This window comes from Homo sapiens, chromosome 7, assembly GCF_000001405.40.
Source record: "Homo sapiens chromosome 7, GRCh38.p14 Primary Assembly".
NCBI classification, from domain to species: domain Eukaryota; kingdom Metazoa; phylum Chordata; class Mammalia; order Primates; family Hominidae; genus Homo; species Homo sapiens.
In genome coordinates, this window is record NC_000007.14 from 43,566,761 (window position 1) to 43,585,436 (window position 18,676).

General features: G+C 41.6%; 1 protein-coding gene across 2 annotated transcripts in view, besides 6 other annotated features; it reads left to right on the top strand.

Annotated features, from left to right (window-relative positions):
- Positions 5,790 to 5,869: a silencer, noted in NCBI's record as "silent region_18123". NCBI's record gives its function as "represses an Ori minimal core promoter by ATAC-STARR-seq in GM12878 lymphoblastoid cells {active_cell/tissue: GM12878}" and the evidence as "EXISTENCE:reporter gene assay evidence [ECO:0000049][PMID:35858748]".
- Positions 10,369 to 11,568: an enhancer, noted in NCBI's record as "MED14-independent group 3 enhancer chr7:43616728-43617927 (GRCh37/hg19 assembly coordinates)". NCBI's record gives its function as "activates an origin of replication core promoter dependent on BRD2, BRD4, P300/CBP and CDK7 cofactors, and independent of MED14, by STARR-seq in HCT116 cells {active_cell/tissue: HCT116}" and the evidence as "EXISTENCE:reporter gene assay evidence [ECO:0000049][PMID:35650434]".
- Positions 10,700 to 11,201: an enhancer, noted in NCBI's record as "H3K27ac hESC enhancer chr7:43617059-43617560 (GRCh37/hg19 assembly coordinates)". NCBI's record gives its function as "activates a minimal SCP1, AML or CMV promoter by ChIP-STARR-seq in naive H9 embryonic stem cells {active_cell/tissue: H9 hESC(naive)}" and the evidence as "EXISTENCE:reporter gene assay evidence [ECO:0000049][PMID:30033119]".
- Positions 15,968 to 16,747: a silencer, noted in NCBI's record as "silent region_18124". NCBI's record gives its function as "represses an Ori minimal core promoter by ATAC-STARR-seq in GM12878 lymphoblastoid cells {active_cell/tissue: GM12878}" and the evidence as "EXISTENCE:reporter gene assay evidence [ECO:0000049][PMID:35858748]".
- Positions 16,348 to 18,676, top strand: part of STK17A (serine/threonine kinase 17a) — a 44,272-nt gene continuing 41,943 nt past the window's right edge. Inside the window, exon 1 of one of the 2 annotated variants that reach the window (NM_004760.3) lies at positions 16,348 to 16,689. In NM_004760.3, the coding sequence (NP_004751.2) occupies positions 16,484 to 16,689 (206 nt within the window). In that variant the 5' untranslated portion in view covers positions 16,348 to 16,483. Of the gene's footprint in view, positions 16,690 to 16,967; positions 17,050 to 18,676 lie in introns of those variants that run through there. The other variant, XM_017012792.2, reaches the window with a different exon arrangement.
- Positions 17,148 to 17,197: an enhancer, noted in NCBI's record as "active region_25909". NCBI's record gives its function as "activates an Ori minimal core promoter by ATAC-STARR-seq in GM12878 lymphoblastoid cells {active_cell/tissue: GM12878}" and the evidence as "EXISTENCE:reporter gene assay evidence [ECO:0000049][PMID:35858748]".
- Positions 17,328 to 17,437: an enhancer, noted in NCBI's record as "active region_25910". NCBI's record gives its function as "activates an Ori minimal core promoter by ATAC-STARR-seq in GM12878 lymphoblastoid cells {active_cell/tissue: GM12878}" and the evidence as "EXISTENCE:reporter gene assay evidence [ECO:0000049][PMID:35858748]".

Genomic DNA, 18,676 nt, shown 5'->3' on the forward strand with positions numbered 1-18,676 from the left:
CTGCCTCAGCCTCCTGAGTAGCTGGGATTACAGGCATGCGCCACCACGCTCGGCTAATTTTGTATTTTTAGTAGAGACAGGTTTTCTCTATGTTGGTCAGGCTAGTCTCGAACTCCCGACCTTAGGTGATCCACCCACCTTGGCCTCCCAAAGTACTGGAATTACAGACATGAGCCACCATGCCCGGCCAATATTGCATTTTTCCACACGTGCTGGGCTGACTTCAGATTTATTCTAACTGAAAATCACTTTTCTTCTAAGTCATAAAGAGAAAATCTGGACTAGATCATCATTTATAGTGAGGCATAGATTATAGTATTCTGCTTTAATCTTACTCTGAAATCAAGATTGGACTTCAGGTCTCCTGATTTCTTTTTTATTTTTATTTATTTATTTATTTTGAGACTGAGTTTCACTGTTGTTGCCCAGGCCAGAGTGCAATGGCGTGATCTCGGCTCACTGCAGCCTCCACCTCCCGGTTTCAAGCAATTCTCCTGTCTCAGCCTCCCAAGTATCTGGAATTACAGGTGTGCACCACCATGCCCAGCTAATTTTTGTATTTTTAGTAGAAATGGGGTTTCACCATGTTGGTCAGGCTGGTCTCAAACTCCTGGCCTCGAGTGATCCACCTGCCTTGGCTTCCCAAAGTGCTGGGATTACAGGTTGAGACACCGCACTCGGCCAGGTCTCCTGATTTCTATGGCCATACTTTTCCAATTAATGTGCTGACAGCTCACTAATTATATACTGTAAAGGGAAAAGTGACACACATAGCTTGTACTCCAGACATGGTTTAGATGTGTTTATAGAGGATGGCTCTCTAACAGAATAAGTGAAGGGAGTTATGGAGGATCAGGCCAACCTTTATCAGTGCTGCAGGAATTACATATCACATTTATGGCTGGGAATAGGCTTAGACACTTTTGTCCAACAGGTTTACCTTGGAGATCTGAGAACAGAATAGTTGATGTCAAGGCCACTGAGTTTTACCTTGAAGGCTACCGCCTTATCACAAAATATCCTGTGGGGTCCTGGGCTCTGGACCTGGCATAACCATTCAAAAATGTGCCAGGAGCATGAGGTATGCAGAAGAGATGGAACCTGAAAGAGTACAACTGGATGCCAGGAATCCAAGGTCAGTGTGCAGTCACCAAAGAAGGATGTGGGCTGCTGGTTCCCACGGCCCCTCTGTGCAAGTTTGCTAGGGCTGCCAGAACAAAGAACCCCAAGTTGGGTGGCTTAAAGAAGGCTAGCAGTTTGCTATGAAGGTGTCGGGGGCTGGTTCCTTCTCAGGGTTGTGGGAAAGCATCTATTCCACCCCGCTCTCCTAGTTTCCAGTGGTTTTCTTGCAGTATTTGGCATTCCTTGGCTTGTAGATCTCTGCCTTCATCTTTGTATGACTGTGTGTGTGTGTGTGTGTGTGTGTGTGTGTGTGTGTGTGTCTACACTTTTCCTTTTTATGAGGACAACATCATATTGGATTAGGGCTAACGCTAATGACCTCACTTTAACTTGATTAGTTCTGTAAAGACCTTACCTCCAAATAAGGAAATAGAATCATATTTGAGGTACTGGGTGGAGTTAGAGCTCCAGTATATCTTCTTTGGAGGACATGATTCAATCTGTAACATCCTCCTTCCTGCCACCTTAAGAGCCTCCAGCAGTAATAGTAACAATCATAAATTCTGACATGCCTTTTATGTATCATCTTATGAAATAGCTACCTTTATATCCCTCTTTTAAGCTGAAAAAGAAAAAAAGTACAAAGAAGTGAACTAACTTGCCCAAAGACACACAGTTAGTAAACGACATAGCCAAGATTTGAGAACAAGGAGCCAGCTCCAGGGCCCAAGCACTCAACCACACACCACCTCATTCAAGTAACCACTTATTGAATACTTGTTACGTGTTGGGTCTTGTGCCAGACACAGGGGCCAGTGGCAGTCTTTGCCCTCAGGGAGCTCATGATCTAACAATATAATAATGCATTATTCTCCTCCAGTTGAGATTTGGCCCGATTCCAGTGTGAGTAGTCTCCCCAACCCAGCTCGCCAAACCTGGCTCCTGAGTACAATATGACGCCATTAAAAAATAATAAGCAACGTGCTACAGGAAAAGGCAACAGGAGCAATTGTCTCTGCTGGTGAGGAAGCATGGGCAGGAATGAACTCGGAGACAGAATTTGAGCATGTATAAAAATGGGAAAAATAATTTAAATGTATTATACCAGAAAGAGGGAAATATTTTTTTCTGAAACAGTAAACAAAGAAATGAGCAGAGGTGATTCAATCAGCCTAAGAACCTTCATATCTTTAAAAGCTGGGAGAATACAGCTACAAAGAGATTTCTTTTTAATGTCTGGAACTTCTGATTGAATTAGCATTAAAACTTATTCAGATTAGAATTAATTTGTTCAAATAATTGGGCAAGTTATATATGCCCAAGAACTTGTATTTCTTTCCATTTTATTCCAAAGAGTACATCCTATAGAGTTTTCTGTTTTTCTTACACAGTTGTTACATAATCCCTATTACTTTTTAAATGTAATAAAAATGGGGTCCTGGCTTTTATCCTGTCCAGAATTTTATATTCACTCATAAAAAGAGCTTCTTCCCTTTTTCCAACCTTATTCTTTCAGTAGGAAAAATTAAACGACAACGGGAAATAACTCTCTTCTAAGATTGTGGTGGATCACATAAAAGGGCCTCAATTCTTCAGCCCCCCTGAAGTCACATCCTTTACCCTGTAACTTTGCAGTCACCTCCATCTGTGGTTGGTCATTCTGAGTCATTCCCTGAACCACCCACCCAGCATAACACAAGCAGAGGCATGTAAAGTACTTGCACGGCTGAGCTTGACCTCTCTCTCTTGTTGCTGTGCTATCACCATGAGAGCAGGCCTGGAATAAGAGGAGAATGAGAGATGTCAGGGGCCAAACCGAGCCAGGCTAGATCAACCAACAGCCAGCTGACCACCAGGTACTTGAGCAAACCCAGCCAGGATCATTAGAGCCACCCGGCCAACCTCCAGCTGACCCCGGAGACATCAACACTAAAAGTGCATGGTTAAACACCAGTGATATTTTGTGATCACTGTACTTTTTTGTGGCAATAGATAATTGATTCAAAGACCATTCAGCATTCTTTCCTTTTTAGGATAACTTTTGAGAAGAAACACTGACCGTTTACCCTTAGGAGAGCATTCACTATGCATGGTAGCTACTCTTTAGTTTCAATTGACAATGGCCAAGTCTGGTGGCTCACAAATCCCAACTACTCAGGAGGCTAAGGCAGGAGGACTGCTTGAGGCTCGGAGCTTGAGACCAGCCTAGTCAACATAGTGAGACCTTGTCTCAAAAAAATAATAATTAATTAATTAATTAATAATGAGACTGCAGAGAAAAGAGAAATTGGCATGTTGGCATAACTTTTCTGAATATAATTTGATGATATGTATCAAGAGTTTTAAAATATCAAAGGCCAAGTTATGGTTCAAAATTGCATCTTACTGGTGGATCTGGAGGTGACTTCGTTCATTCAGGTCAGACACTAAACTGTTCTTAGATACTCTTTCCACCCCATCATCAGTAACACTCTATGTTTATCCTGGATTAGAACTCCTATGTAGACAGCAGGAACTAAAGGAAAATTATCCTGTATCGCATATTCCAAAAGATGAAGCCCCCATACACAAATTCTGTAGGGGAGGGTAGGAGAAAGAAGAACCCTAGTGGCAAAGCACTTATTTATTCAATTTATCAATAAATGTTTATTGAACATCAGCACTGTGCTGGGCATTGTTTTAGGCACTGGTGTTGCATCAGTAAACAAAACAAAGAATAAGTAAGTACATAATAGAGTATGTTGAGAGGTGGTAAGTGTGACGGGGAAAAAGGAGAGGAAAGGAAGAGAAAGGAAATGAAGAGGGTTGAAATAGAAGGGATTAGAAATATAAAAAGAATTTTTAGGGAAGGTGCTGACAAAAGATGATGTTTGGGCAAAATCTTAAGAGATGAGAGAATGAGCGTTGACACTCTCTGGAGGAAGAGTGGCTTGGTCAAAGGCGACAGCAAATGCAAATGCCTTTGAAACTGAAGCATTTCTGGTCAAGCCTGCGGTGGCTTGTAGTTTTCATAGTTTTTCAGAAGAGCAAGCAGTAAAGGTAGAAGGCAATACTTCCTCAGTTCCACTGAGCTTCACTTAGATGAATACTTACCAGATTCTCCAGTTGGTCTGTGCTCACCTACCTGCTGTCCAGATGTAGGAGTCCAGGTGTCCAAATGAACAGAGGGTTGAACCAAAACACACACACACACACACACACACACACACAGACACACAGTTCCTTAGCAAAAGCTAGGTCTAATTTACTCACTGAAGGACAAATAATTCTGGAAACTATGACAAACATCACAGAACAAGAAAAAGAAACAGCACCCTGAAGACTCAAAGGAAGAGTTCATCCCTGAAGATGACTCACTACTGGCAACAATTGAAATTATTAAAAAATTTCTAATTGGGCCAGGTGCAGCGGCTCATGCCTGTGGTCCTAGCACTTTGGGAGGCCAAGGCAAGAGGACTGCTTGAGGCCAGGAGTTCAAGACCAGCCTGGGCAACATAGCAAGACCATATCTCTCCTAAAAAAAAAAAATAATAATTAATTAGCCAGATGCAGTGGTACACATCTATAGTCCCAGCTACTCAGGAGACTGAGGTGGGAGGATCCCTTGAGCCTGGGAGTTCAAAGCTGCAGTGAGCTATGATCATGCCACTGCACTCCAGCCTGGGCAACAGAGCAAGACTCTGGCTCAAAAAAAATATGTATTTTCTAATTGGCATTCTGAATAGCTAGCCAGAAGACATGACCCCTGAGAAATAGAAGCAAAATACATAAAAAGACAGCTGAATTGACTGAAAAATAAACCAAAACAAAAAAACAAGCAAACAATAGCAGACTTCCAATTAAGATGGAGCACTAAGCTGACTTGAAAACAACCACCACCCTCATGCTCGAAATGTAAAAAGATGGTGGCCCACGCCTGTAATCCCTGCACTTTGGGATCCTGAGGCGGGCTGATCATGAGGTCAGGAGTTCCAGATCAGTCTGGCCAGCATAGTGAAACCCCGACTCTACTAAAAATACAAAAAATTAGCCAGGTGTGGTGGTATGTGCCTGTAATCCAAGCTACTTAATTACTGAAGCAGGAGAATCACATGAACCCAGTAGGTGGAGGTTGCAGTGAGCCAAGATTGCGCCATTGCACTCCAGCCTGGGCGACAGTGCGAGACTCTGTCTCAAAAAAAGAAAAAAAAAAAAAAAAGCCGGGCGTGGTGGCTCACGCCTGTAATCCCAGCACTTTGGGAGGCCAAGGCGGGCGGATTGCCTGAGGTCAGGAGTTCGAGACCAGCCTGGCCAACATGGCGAAACCCCGTCTCTACTAAAAATGCAAAAATTAGCCAGGCATGGTGGTGTGTGCCTGTAATCCCAGCTACCCAGGAGACTGAGGCAGGAGAATCACTGGAACCCAGGAGGCAGAGGCTGCAGCGAGCTGAGATTGTGCCACTGCACTGCAGCCTGGGTGACAGCAAGACTCCATCTCAAAAAAAAAAAAAAAATATATATATATATTGTTTTTAATGTAATATACAGTGAAGCTAAGAAGCTAGCAATAAAAAGAAACCTACAGCTACAGTGGTTAGTAAGAATTGGTTAAACACTTTAAGGACATGGGTTTTCTTCTGGGTCAGGACTTGAGCCCTCAGTCTTCTTATAGAGCAAGGAACTGAAAATGAACTCTTGGCATTGAACCTGAAATTGGGAAAGTGCTGACTTCTTCATGACTGGGTTGTAAAAACCTCCTCTGCTGGCACAGAGCAGGCAATAAGTTGTTTGATGGAGGAAGTGGTGTGAACCACAGATCCTGAATCCTGACTCATGGCTCATGACAGTGCAGAACACAAATTCACGTCATCCAAATGCTTCAGAACCCCCAAGCTCCATTGAGAAATTAAGCCAGAAATTTGTCTCCCAATCAACAAGCTCTGTAGTCAGGGCAGAGGCCATTTAGAAACCACATCATAGAGATTCTTTCCCAACTCAGACCCTATTTGAAACATTTAAAAATACAAAGTTACAGTTAAAATAGGAGCTCATCATCAAAAAAGTATAAAATATATAAGGAACTCCATTACTAGGAAAGAAAATCCACAGATGGAATGAGCCAATGGAACTTGAAATAGTACTGCATTCTAAAAAAGCCACAACATAACTACTTTTAAATGTCCAAGTCGATGAAGAAAGATTCAAATATATGAATCAGGGATGAAAGATTATAAACCATGAAAAGGCAGGTTTGAGAAGAACAGTTTCTTTTTACTTTTTTTTTTTTTTTGAGACAGAGTCTTACTCTGTCGCCCAAGCTGGAGTGCAGTGGTGTGATCTCCACTCACTGCAACCTCCGCCTCCTGGGTTAGAGCAATTCTCCTGCCTCAGCCTCCCGAGTAGCTGGGATTACAGACGCCCACCACCACGCCCAGCTAATTATTTTGTAGTTGTAGTAGAGACAGGATTTCACCATGTTGACCAGGCCGGTCTCGAACTCCTGAGCTCAAGCCATCTGCCCACCTCAGCCTCCCAAAGTGTTGGGATTACAAGCATGAGCTACCATGCTCGGCCTACTTTTTTGTTTGTTTGTTTGCTAAAACAAGTCCCTTGAAGCCTGTAAGTATTTAACACGAATGAGAATGTTGGCAGCTTACAGCACTTGAAAGACCTAGCTTCTAAAAATAAGTGAATCTATCTTTTTCATATATATATATATTTACAAAGTATACTTTTATTATAATTGTATGTTTAAAAATATTGCCCAGTTGATTTTTTTTAGATTAAACTTCTGTCAGATTGACCTAAGAAAACTGATTTTCTACCCTAAAAATCTTTTTCAAAAGGTTGATATGTAAGTGCCAGGCACGGTGGCTCACGCCTGTAATCCCAGAACTTTGGGAGGCCAAGGAAGGCGGATCACCTGAGGTGGGGAGTTCGAGACCAGCCTGACCAACATGGGGAAGCCCCATCTCTACTAAAAATACAAAATTAGCTGGGCATGGTGGTGCATGCTTGTAATCCCAGCTACTTGGGAGGCTGAGGAAGGAGCATAGCTTGAACCCAGGAGGCGGAGGTTGCAGTGAGCTGAGATCACACTATTGCACTCCAGCCTGGGCAACAAAAGAGAAACTCCATCTCAAAAAAAAAAAAGTATTGCATAATAACCTATCAGGTAAATATATCAAAATTCATTTAACCATTATCTTACTCGGATAGTAAGAGCATTGCATACTCAATTCAACCACATCTATTCATCAATATTTACAAAGTGTCACTTATACACACTGAGGATATAGAATAAATGGTCCCTTCTGATCTAACTAGGAAGAAAGAAAGTATACACTTATAATGCAATTTGATAAAGATAAACTCAGGTTGATATTAAAACAGGTGGGCCAGGTAAGAATATCTGATAAAATCAGGTATAGCGCTCTATACAGAAAAACACAGATCAGAACAACACAAGGAAACAAAAAGCACTTGGGTTTTTATCTTTCCAGTCTTTCTCCCCATTATCACTAACAATGGGCATTGAATTACCCTAAAAATCTTTGCCAATTTTATTGGCAAAAATGAAACCCCATTTATATTTCTCCAGGAAATATAAATTAAATTTGAACATTTCACTATAAAAAAATCTTTTATTTTCTTTGACCTCTTTCTAATATAGTGTTGGCACACCTCTTATTATATGTTCTTCATTTAGGGTATGATTTTTATCTATAATGCTTTTTGCTAATGTATTTCCAGCTTGTTTGCCTTCTAACTTTGCATATAACATTTTTTGATATGCAATGATTTTTGAATTATTAGGTAGTCAAATATTTTTCTTGGAGTTTTTTTCCACTGCTTTATTTCTTAGAAGTTACTTTTTCTTTCAGAAATCAGCTAATTGTCAAGGCCAGGCAAAGTGACTAATGCCTGTAATTCCAGCACTTTGGGAGGCCAAGGAGGATGGATCATTTGAGGCCAGGAGTTCAAGACCAACCTAGCCAACATGGCAAAAACCTGTCTCTACTAAAAATACAAAAATTAGCCAAGCATGGTGGCACATGCCTGTAATCCCAGCTACTCGGGAGGCCGAGGCAAGAGAATCGCTTCAATCCAGGAGGCAGAGGTTGCAGTGAGCCGAGCTGGCACCACTCCACTCCAGTCTGGGCAACAGTGAGACCCCGTGTCAAAAAAACAACAAAAAAAGAAAAAGTCAGCTAATTGTTATGTGTCATTTCTTTCTAGATTTTGTAGTTTTTGTTTGTTTGTTTTACATTTAATGATTTAGAAGATTTGGGGCTTATTGTGGTTTCTTAAATATTATAACTCTATTTCAAAACTATTCTGCTATGTTGAGCTATCTTATTTCATACTGTATTTTAATATGTTAGGACAGTTCTCTCCTTACGACTTTCTTTTGCAAAAATTTTCTAGCTACACTCATTTGGATATTCTTCATGATGAACTCTGAGATAATTTTAACACATTCCAAAAGACATATTTTTGAGACTTATTAGAATTTTGTTAAAGATACTGATTTATTTCCAAAGAATTACAGAATCTAATCTTTTCATCTATGTATCTCTATTGAAGCATTTGTTTATGTCTCTTAGAATAGATACATTCTTTAAAATAAAATATAAGCTTTGTGCATTTTTGTGAGGGTCGTTTCTGCATGCTTTATTTTCATTTTATTCAAATGGAATAGTTCCCCATTAGCTTTCATATCTCATTGTTATTATGTAGGAATGCTATTGATTTATTTTTATTAAACCTAATTGTCTTTTAAAATATATTAATTTTAATATTTTTCAGTTGATTCTTTTTTATTACATTTTACTTATTTATTTATTTTCTTTTATTTTAAAATTTTCTTTTTTGAGATGGGGTCTCATGCTGTCACCCAGGCTGGAGTGCAGTGGCACTATCCTGGCTCACTGCAACCTACACCTCCCGGGTTTAAGCGATTCTTATGCCTCAGCCTCCCGAGTAGCTGGAATTACAGATGCCCGCCACCATGCCCGGCTAATTTTTGTATTTTTAGTAGAGACGGGGTTTCACCATGTTGATCAGGCTGGTCTTGAACTCCTGACCTCAAGCAATCCACCCACCTCGGCCTCCCTCCCAAAGTGGTGGGATTACAGGCATGAGCCATCACACCCAGCCCTTTTTTATTACATTTTAAAATAGCATTAATAGAAACAAGGTTTCACTATGTTGCCCAGGCTGGTTTCAAACTCCTAAGCTCAAGCGATCTTCCCACCTCGGTCTCCCAAAGTGTTAGGATTACAGGCATGAGCCCGGTCCAGTTTATTCTTTTGGATATTCTAGAAGTAGAATATAGAATTCTCTACATTTAACAATTGTGACTATTCCTTCATGACCATTTAAATTCTTCCTTTCCAATATTAATGCCAGAGTGTCTTACTGCACTATTTAGGTTCTCAACTGCAACACTGAATAAGAGTCGTGATAGCACGTAACTTTGCTGTGCCTCTGACTTCAACGATAATACTTCTGTAGGTTTTTTAGAGATGTATCTTCTTAAGTTTAGGAAATTCCCTTCTATTTTAATCAGTCATGAGTGGGTATTGAATATTATGCAATGTTTTTTCCCAGCATTTTCTGTCAACATAGATGAGAAGTAAATTGGCCAATTTCCACTTATTTGTGATTGTGGCTTTTGGTTGTGGTTGTTTTATATCAAAATAATAGATGACATTTGGTTTCTTCCTTAATTCCACTATGATGATAGGGCATACTCTATAGAATTTCAGTCCTTTAAAATTGTTGAAAAGTGCTTTACGACCCACTACATAATCAATAAATATTCTTTTTGCAGCAAAATAATATATATTCTGTAGTGTTGTATGTGTATCATGTCAATTTTGTTCATTGTGTTGTTCAATGCTTCTATGTCCTTTCTATTTTTTTCCCTGCTTGTTCTATCAGTTACAGAGAGGAATGTGTTAAAAATCTCAGGTTGTGATGGTAGATTTGTGTATTTCTCCTTTTAGTTCTGTCATTTTGCTTCGTATATTTCAATACTATCTTTTAAAGATAGCATTGAATTGATTCTTTTTTCACTAATGCATTTTATCTCTTATAATACTTCTTGCCTTAACATCTACTTTGTCTAATATTTTTATAGGTACAACCAATTTTCTATTAGGCACAATAGGCATACATAACCCAGAGATATTGCAGATTCAGTTCCAGACTACTGCAGTAATAATATCATAATAAAGCAAGTCACACAAATTTTTTGGTTTCCCAGTGCATATATAAGTTATGTCTACACTATTCTATGGTCTATTAAGTGAGCAATAGCATTATGTCTAGAAAAACAATGTACATACATTGTACATTTTAAATGAATGTATATGCGAAACAACATACATTAATTTTAAAATACTATATTGCTAAAAAGTGCTATTGATCATCTCAGCCTTCAGTAAGTTGTAATTTTTTTGCTGGTGAGGGGTCTTGCCTCCATGCTGATGGCAACTGACTGATCAAGGTGGTGGTAGCTGAAGGTTAGGGTGGCTGTAGCAATTTCTTAATATAAGACAAAGATGATGTTTGCCACATTGATTGACCCTTTCTTTCACAAAAGATTCCTCTGTAGCATGCAATGCTGTTTGATAGCATTTTACCCACACAGTAGTGATGCAGGATTTTTTTGCTCCTTATCTAGGCTCCTTAGCCAGGCTCCTCCCCTGCATAAGACACGAATTCCTGGTGGCTCCACCCCATTCCCCCAGTGCTTGTGGGCCTCCAGTTCACTGCGGGCATGCTCAGGCAAGTCCCCTGTGCAGGTTCCCTTATCTGCACAAAACATCTGATGTAAACACTTGTGGGGCGAGTTGGAGATTCTCCGGGGACCCTTCCCTATCTGCCTAGGCCTTTGTCTGCCTCTTGCCTCTATCAGTAGGACTTCCTTCAAAATTGGAATCAAAATTGCCACCATTTTATCAACTAAGTTTATGTAATATTCTAAATCGTTTGTTGTCATTTCAACAGTGTTTACGGCATCTTCAACAGGAGTAGATTCCATCTCAGGAAACCACTTTCTTTGCTCATCTATAACAAGCATCTTCCACTGATGTCTTGAGCCCCTCAAAGTCATCCATGAGGATTGGAATCAACTTCCTCAAATTCCTGTTAATGTTGATATTTTTAACTCCTCCCATGAACCATGAATTCTCTTAATGACATCTAAAATGGTCAGAAGATTTTCAATTGACTTTGCCCAGATCCATCAGAAGATTCACTATCTATGGCAGCTACAGCCTTACAAAATATATTTCTGAAGTAACAAGACTTGGAAGTCAAAATTACTCCTTGTTCCATGGACAGCAGAATGGATGTTGTGTTAGCAGGCATGAAAACAATATTCATCTCCTTGCACATTTCCATCAGAGCTCTTGGGTTGTTGGTACATTGTCAATGAGCAGTAATATTTTGAAAGGAATCTATTTTTTTTTTCTGAGCACTAGGTCTCCAGACTGGGCTTAAAATGTTCAGTAGACTATGTTGTAAATACATGTGCTGTCATCCAGCCTTTGTTTTTCGATTTCTAGAGCATAGGCAGAGTAGATTTGGCATAATTCTTAAAGGCCCTAGAATTTTTAGAGTGGTCAAAGAGCATCGGCTTCACCTTAGAGTCATGAGCTGCATTAGCCCCTAACAAGGGAGTCAGCCTGTCCTTTGAAGCTTTGAAGCCAAGCCTGGACTTTTACTCTCTAACTCTGAGTCTTAGATGACATCTTCTTCCAATAGAAAGTCATTTAATCTACACTGAAAACCTGTTGTTTCATATAGCTCTCTTCATCAATTACTTGAGCTAGATCTTCTAAATAAATTCCTGCAGCTTCTACATCAGCACTTACTACTTCACCTTGAACTTTTATGTTATGCAGATAGTCTCTTTCCTTAAATCTCATGAATCAACCTCTGCTAACTTCAAACTTTTCTTTGGCAGCTGCCTAACCTCTCTCAGCCTTCAGAGAATTGAAGAGAGGTAAAGCCTTGCTCTGGATTAGGCTTTGGCTTAAGGGAATCTTGTGGCTGGTTTGATCTTCTATCCAGACCACTCAAACTTTCTCCATATCAGCAAGAAGGCTGTTTCACTATTTTTATCATTCCTATGTTCACTGGGGTAGTATTTTTAATATGTTCACTGGGGTAGTATTTTTAATTCCCTTCCAGAACTTTTCCTTTGTATTCACAATTTGGCTAACTGGCTCAAGAGGCCTAGCTTTCAGCCCATCTTGGCTTTCTACATGCCTTCCTCACTAAGCTTAACCATTTTGAGCTTTTATTTCAAGTAAAAGACATGGGAATCTTCCTTTCACTTGAACACTTAGAGGCTGTTTTAGGGTTTTTAATTGGTCTATTTCAATATTGTTGTGTTTCAGAGAATAGGGAGGCCTGAGGAGAGGAAGAGAAATGGGGGGCTGATTGGTGGAGCAGTTAGATCACACACATTTATCAATTAACTTTGCATGAGTGCAATTCATGGTACCCAAAAGCAATTACAATAATAACATCAAAGATCAAAGATCACGGTCCACCATAACAGATATAATAGTAATAATAAAGTTTGAAACATAGTGAGAATTACCAAAATGTGACAGAAAGAAATGAAGACAGCACATACTGTTGGAAAAATGGCACTGGTAGACTTGCTTGATGCAAGGTTGCCACAAACCTTCAGTTCGTAAAAAATGTAATATCTGCAAAGTGCAATAAAGCAAATTGCAATAAAATGAGATATGCCTGTATTTACATGGCATAATTCTTTCCATCCTTTCAATCTTTCTGTAGCCTTTTATTTGAGGTGTCTCTTACAAGCAACATATAATTGATATTATTTTTAATTCTGTCCATAGCATTTGCCTTTTAACTGGAGTATAGATTCCATTTATATTTAATGTACTTGCCAAAAAACCCTCCTGTTTTAAAAAATTTACCTTTTTTTTTTTTTTTGAGACAGAGTTTCACTCTGCTGCCCAGGCTGGAGTGCAGTGGTACAATCTCGGCTCACTGCAGCCTCCGCCTCCTGGGTTCAAGTGATTCTCCTGCCTCAGCCTCCCGAGTAGCTGGGACTACAGGTGCCCACCACCACGCCTAGCTCGTTTTTTGTGTTTTATTTTAATAGAGATGGGGGTTTCACTATGTTGACCAGGCTGGTCTCGAACTCCTGACCTCAGGTGATCTACCCTCCTTGGCTTCCCAAAGTGATCATCTATTTGTTTCTACTTGTCTGTGTTCCTTTTTTCCCTTTCTTGCTTCTTTTATTTTTTATTTTTTCATTTCCCCTCTTTTTTACATGTTATTCATTCTTTTTCTATTACTTTTGCTGTTATTCTAGAGATTATAATATTCATTATTGATGTATTAAAGCCAAGTACTTTTATCAATTCCTATACAATCCTAGGACTTTAGAACACTTTACTTTCATTTACTCTATCTCACTTTTTGTGCTGCTATTGTGTATATTTTAATTCTACATATATTTAAACTTCACATGACGTTATTTTTATTGTTTTATATAAATTGTGTTTATTTATATCTATCCATATATATATATGTATTTATATCTATCCATATATAAAAGGATTGATTGCTCTTCATTCCTTTAGATGTCTCCATGATTTCATTTGGGATTATATTCCATCTGCCTGAAAAACTCCTTTTGGAATTTCCTTTAATGTAAATCAGCTGATGATCTTAGTGTTTCTTGGTTATAAAACTGGCTGTATTTTATTTTCAATTTTGAAGATCATTTTTACTGGGTATATAATATAGGTTGATAGGTAATTTCTCCTAGCGCTTTGAAAACATTTGAAGGTGTTTAGGCTTCCATTGGTTCTTTGAGAATAAGCTTTTAATTTTATTGTTGCTCATTTGCAGATTATATCTCTGTTTTCTTTGCTGATTTTAAACCTTTTCTTTTTGATTTTGTTTCTCAGTAGTTTACAATGTGCCTAGACATGGTTTTCTTTGCTTGAAATCCTGCTCTATGTTCATAATGTTTCTTGACTCTGAGAATTGTTGTTCATTAGTTTTAAAAAATTTCCAGCCGTTATCTTTTCAAATACTGCTTCTTTTCCTTTTTTCTCTCACCTCTCTTCCTGATATTCCAATTACGTGTGTGTTAGAATGTTTTACCACATATCACATGTGTCATAGTCTCCTTTCTGAGACCTTATCTCTTTTATAGAAAGTTCTTTCATATCTCTTGTATGTCATTTTTCATATTTTGTTTTGCTTATTAGCTTCACTAATTCTTGCTTAAGTTGTATCTCATCTGTTATTAAGCCCATAATTCTGTAGTAGTTTTAGTTAGTGTGTTTTTTTCTCCAATTCCAAAATTCCATTGTATTCTTCTTTGGAGTTTCCAGTTCTCTGCTGAAAACTCTTTATCTTGCAATTTAATTTCTTGAAGATATTTAACAGAATTATTTTAAAATCTGTCTTTAAACTTTAATATCTGGATCTTCTGTGTGTTTATTTCTGTTTTCTTTTTCCCTTAGTTTTTAAGACAATTCTGTGTCCTTTGTTTAAATTAAGTTTCAGACATGGTGTATAAAATATTATATGGGTAATGTGTTGCTCTGAATGATGCTTTTTTTCCCCAGAGAGAATATTTACTGTTGCCATTTGAAGCTGGTTTTCAGCCCTTGGGTCTATTTCCCGTTCATCCACACCCCTAGGGTATAGCTCTTCGGAGTCCCAGCTGAAAGCCTAGTTGCTTACCAGCCCCTCATCATAAATAGGTCCTAAACTCCAATTTTTTTTTTGTCTCCCCAACCCCATGAGATGACTGAAAGCTCTGCTTACTTTCTCACTCTTTCAGCCATGGCTTTAAAATCATCAAATACCTCATGGGAAAAGTGGTGGCTTTCTGAGCTGCCTATCTTTCCAGGATTTCAGTCATCCAAGTCCTTGCTGGGAGAGGAAATTTTTAACTTTTGTCAACTTTTCTATTTTTTCTTAGTGAGAATATTGAACACAAATAAACTAGTATATCAGTGCCAGAAGCAAAACTCCACTGAGACAGTCTGAGTAGAGCAGTGGTGTGATTTGGTTTCGATTTTTAAAAGATCACTCTCATTGCCTTGAAAATGAACTATGCGACATTAGGGAGAAAGAAGGATGGAAGCAGGTGGTCCAGTTAGTAAACTATCACAATAATCCAGGTAAGAGATAACGATGGCTCAGGCCATGGTGGTAAGGTGGAAATAGAGAGAAGTGATCAAACGCCGCATCTAGTTTGAAGGAAAAGACAAGAGGGTTTACTGACAAACTGGAGATGAGCATGAGAGAGGAATCAATGCTCATCCCAAGATTTTTGGCCTGAACAGCTAGAAGGAAGGAGATGAAGAAAACTGAGACGGGGAAAGCTGGGTAGGAGTGCATTCATGAAGACCAATCAGCAACTTACTTTTGTGTATGTTAAGTCTGAGATGCTAATTTGACATGTAAGTGGAGATGCCAAATGCATAGTCAAATACACCAGTCTGAAGTTCAGGGAATATTTGGAAGCTAGAGATACAAATTCTGTAGTCATGAGCATATAGATGGTAATTAAAGTCGTAAGACCGGATGAGAGGACCTCGAAAGTAAATATAGAGACGACTACAGACAATATAATAGTGTCTATTTCATAGGGCCGGTGTGCAGGGTTAATAATATTTATACAACTCTGCCTCCAGACCCCTCTCCCAGTGTACGGAGATCAGGATCTCATCACCCCTCCCCACCACGTGAAGTCCTGCTTACAGCTCAAATGCCTTTTATTAACCGAAGTGCCTCCAGACCCCTCCCCTCCTCACCACGTGAAGTCCCGCTTACAGCTCAAATGCCTTTTATTAACCGAAGGTCAGCTTTTGTGACTCTCAGACGCTCAACAGGTGCGCAACTCTGCTAACGCAGTAGGCTGTCCTGGCCAAAGGGTGGTGCTGTGAGTCGCCTCCAGCCTCCGGGCCGTCCCGAAAGCTGCACCTTCTCCCCCTGAGCTGCAGAGGGCGCGCGTGAGGCATCGGGCGCTCAGGACCCCGCGGGAGCTCAGCGAGGGGGCGGGCGGCCACGGAGTGAGGCCGGGGCGGGGTCGGGCGCGGGGCGGACGTGGGGAGGGGTTGGCCGGGGCCAGAAGCAGGGTGCAGGGCAGGCGCGGGGCGGTCACGGGGGCGGGGCCGGTCGCGGGGCGCGGGGCGGGCCCGAGCTACCGGTAGTCTGCCTGCCGCAGTCCGAGCGCCGCGCTGGGGAGAGCGGGTGTTTGAAGGCTCCGCGGACCGGCACTAGGAGCCGGGGGCGGGTCCGTGACCCTCCGGCTGCTCGGAGTGAACAGGCGGCCAGGAAAGAAGCGGGCCTGAACACCATGATCCCTTTGGAGAAGCCAGGCAGCGGCGGCTCCTCCCCAGGCGCCACCTCAGGCTCGGGCCGGGCAGGCCGGGGTCTGAGCGGGCCGTGCCGGCCGCCGCCGCCGCCCCAGGCCCGCGGGCTGCTGACAGAGATACGCGCCGTGGTGCGCACCGAGCCCTTCCAGGACGGCTACAGCCTGTGCCCGGGCCGGGAGCTGGGCAGGTGAGGACGGGCGGGGCCCGGCGCGGAACCTTCCCGGACGCGCGGGGCGGGACGTGGGCGCCGATAAGTGCCGGCGCCGCGGCGGCGAGGCTGAAGTGGCGTTGCTGCTGCCGATAACGCGCGTTGTGACTTGGCACAAACTTGGGTGCCGACGGCAAGTAGGGCAGCCGAGTCGCACCAGCGCCCCCTCCACGCGCCGCGCCCAGCAAGCGAGTGGTGGTAACTCGATGGCGGTCCCGGAGGCGCGGACACTTTCCTCAGCCCTTTCGTTCTCTGTGGCGTTTCGAATGGCTATTTAACGAGAGAAGGTGCGGGCCGCGCTCTGCCTTTCACCCCGAGCAGCGGGTCTGAAAACCAGAGGTCTGTGGAGCCGACTTTGCATTTTTCCTTCAACTCTTGCGACTTTCTTGGTCTGCCTGTGTGGTTTTAATAAAATACAGCATCCGTTGTGACCGCTTCCTTTGCACCGGCGCTCTGTTACCTTGTGTCGGTCTTCTGCTGAATTCATTTTCGTTTTCTTGGTTGGTTTTCTGCCGTTTTAGTTCTAAAGCATTTAGGTCCCTTTGCTTCGAGTTTAGATTGGTTTCTTTCGTGGGCGCTTGGCCCTTTTCTCGCTTTTTACTTTGCTGGGAACCGATTCTTGCCTTCTCCCCCCACCCCACGCTAGCCCACCCTTTTTTTGTGGGAGTAGAGAGAGCTTACAACTTGGTCTGTAAAGTTGCAGGTGCAGGCTGTTCGGATGCTTTACATTTTGTATGCTGAAGAGGGGTGATCGAGTGATTTTTGTGGGGTTTGGCGACTCTTCCTTGAGAACAGTTTGAAGAAGTTGTTAAATACTCTGGCTTTGGGGGCAGACCTGAGTTCATATTCGTGCCCTTCTTGCTGTGTTTGCCTTTGGAGGGGTTAGACTCTCCAGCCTCACTTTCCTCATCCGTAAAATCGTATAATGATGACAGTACCTACCTCAGAGGTGGCCTGAAGATGCCATGCTTGTCAAGCGCATACCACTGGGCTTGCCACATGGCGTTCAGTAAATGTTCGCATTATTGCCAGCATTTGTCATGGTTGCAAAATAGCACCATGTTGTAATGGGAAAGGGCCTGACAGTTGGAACAGCCTTCAGCTGGGGTCTTGGAAAGGCAAACAATGTAACATTGGTTATAATGTTAAAAACACACTGCCTTACACATATTAAGGTAACTTTTGGAAATAGTTTTTTTTGGGGGGTGGGGGTGTAGGGAGGGTGGAATCCTACCTTAACAAAGTCTTACTTATTCCTAAATGTTAACAAAAGGAAAAACACCTTTCAGGAACAAGATTTACTTCACTGCTAGGCCCTAGTTGACTGGATCTGTGCATACTTTGTGACAAAAGATGAAGGGAGCTGTGACTTAGCTGTGTATTCTAATTTGTCGACATTCCAAACATTCTGAAGTAACCCCTATTACCTGAAAAAAGGAAAACTGGCCGGGCGCAGTGGCTCACGCCCATAATCCCAGCCCTTTGGGAGGCTGAGGCGGGTGGATCACCTGAGGTCAGGAGTTCCAGACCAGCCTGGCCAACATGGTGAAACCCCGTCTGTACCAAAAATACAATAATTAGCTGGGCCTGGTGGTGGGCGCCTGTAATCCCAGCTACTCGTGAGGCTGAGGTAGGCGAATCACTTGAACCCGGGAGGCGGAGGTTGCAGTGAGCCAAGATCGCGCCGTTGCACTCCAGCTTGGGTGACAGAGTGAGACTCCATCTCCAAAAAAAAAAAGGAAAACTACGTTTTTCCATTATTTGGTTGTCTGGCTTCATTCCACAAGGAAAACCGGTGCAAATATTACAAAACGAATGTCTTCAGGTGGCAAGCACTGTCTTGGAGATGTTATAATCTGGAAACTGATTTGCACCCCACCAGGTGTTATGGTACCAATTCCTTCAGGAATGTTTCTTTCAACTTTTGTTTTAAACTCCATTATAAAATTAGCTTTCCGATCAGGTT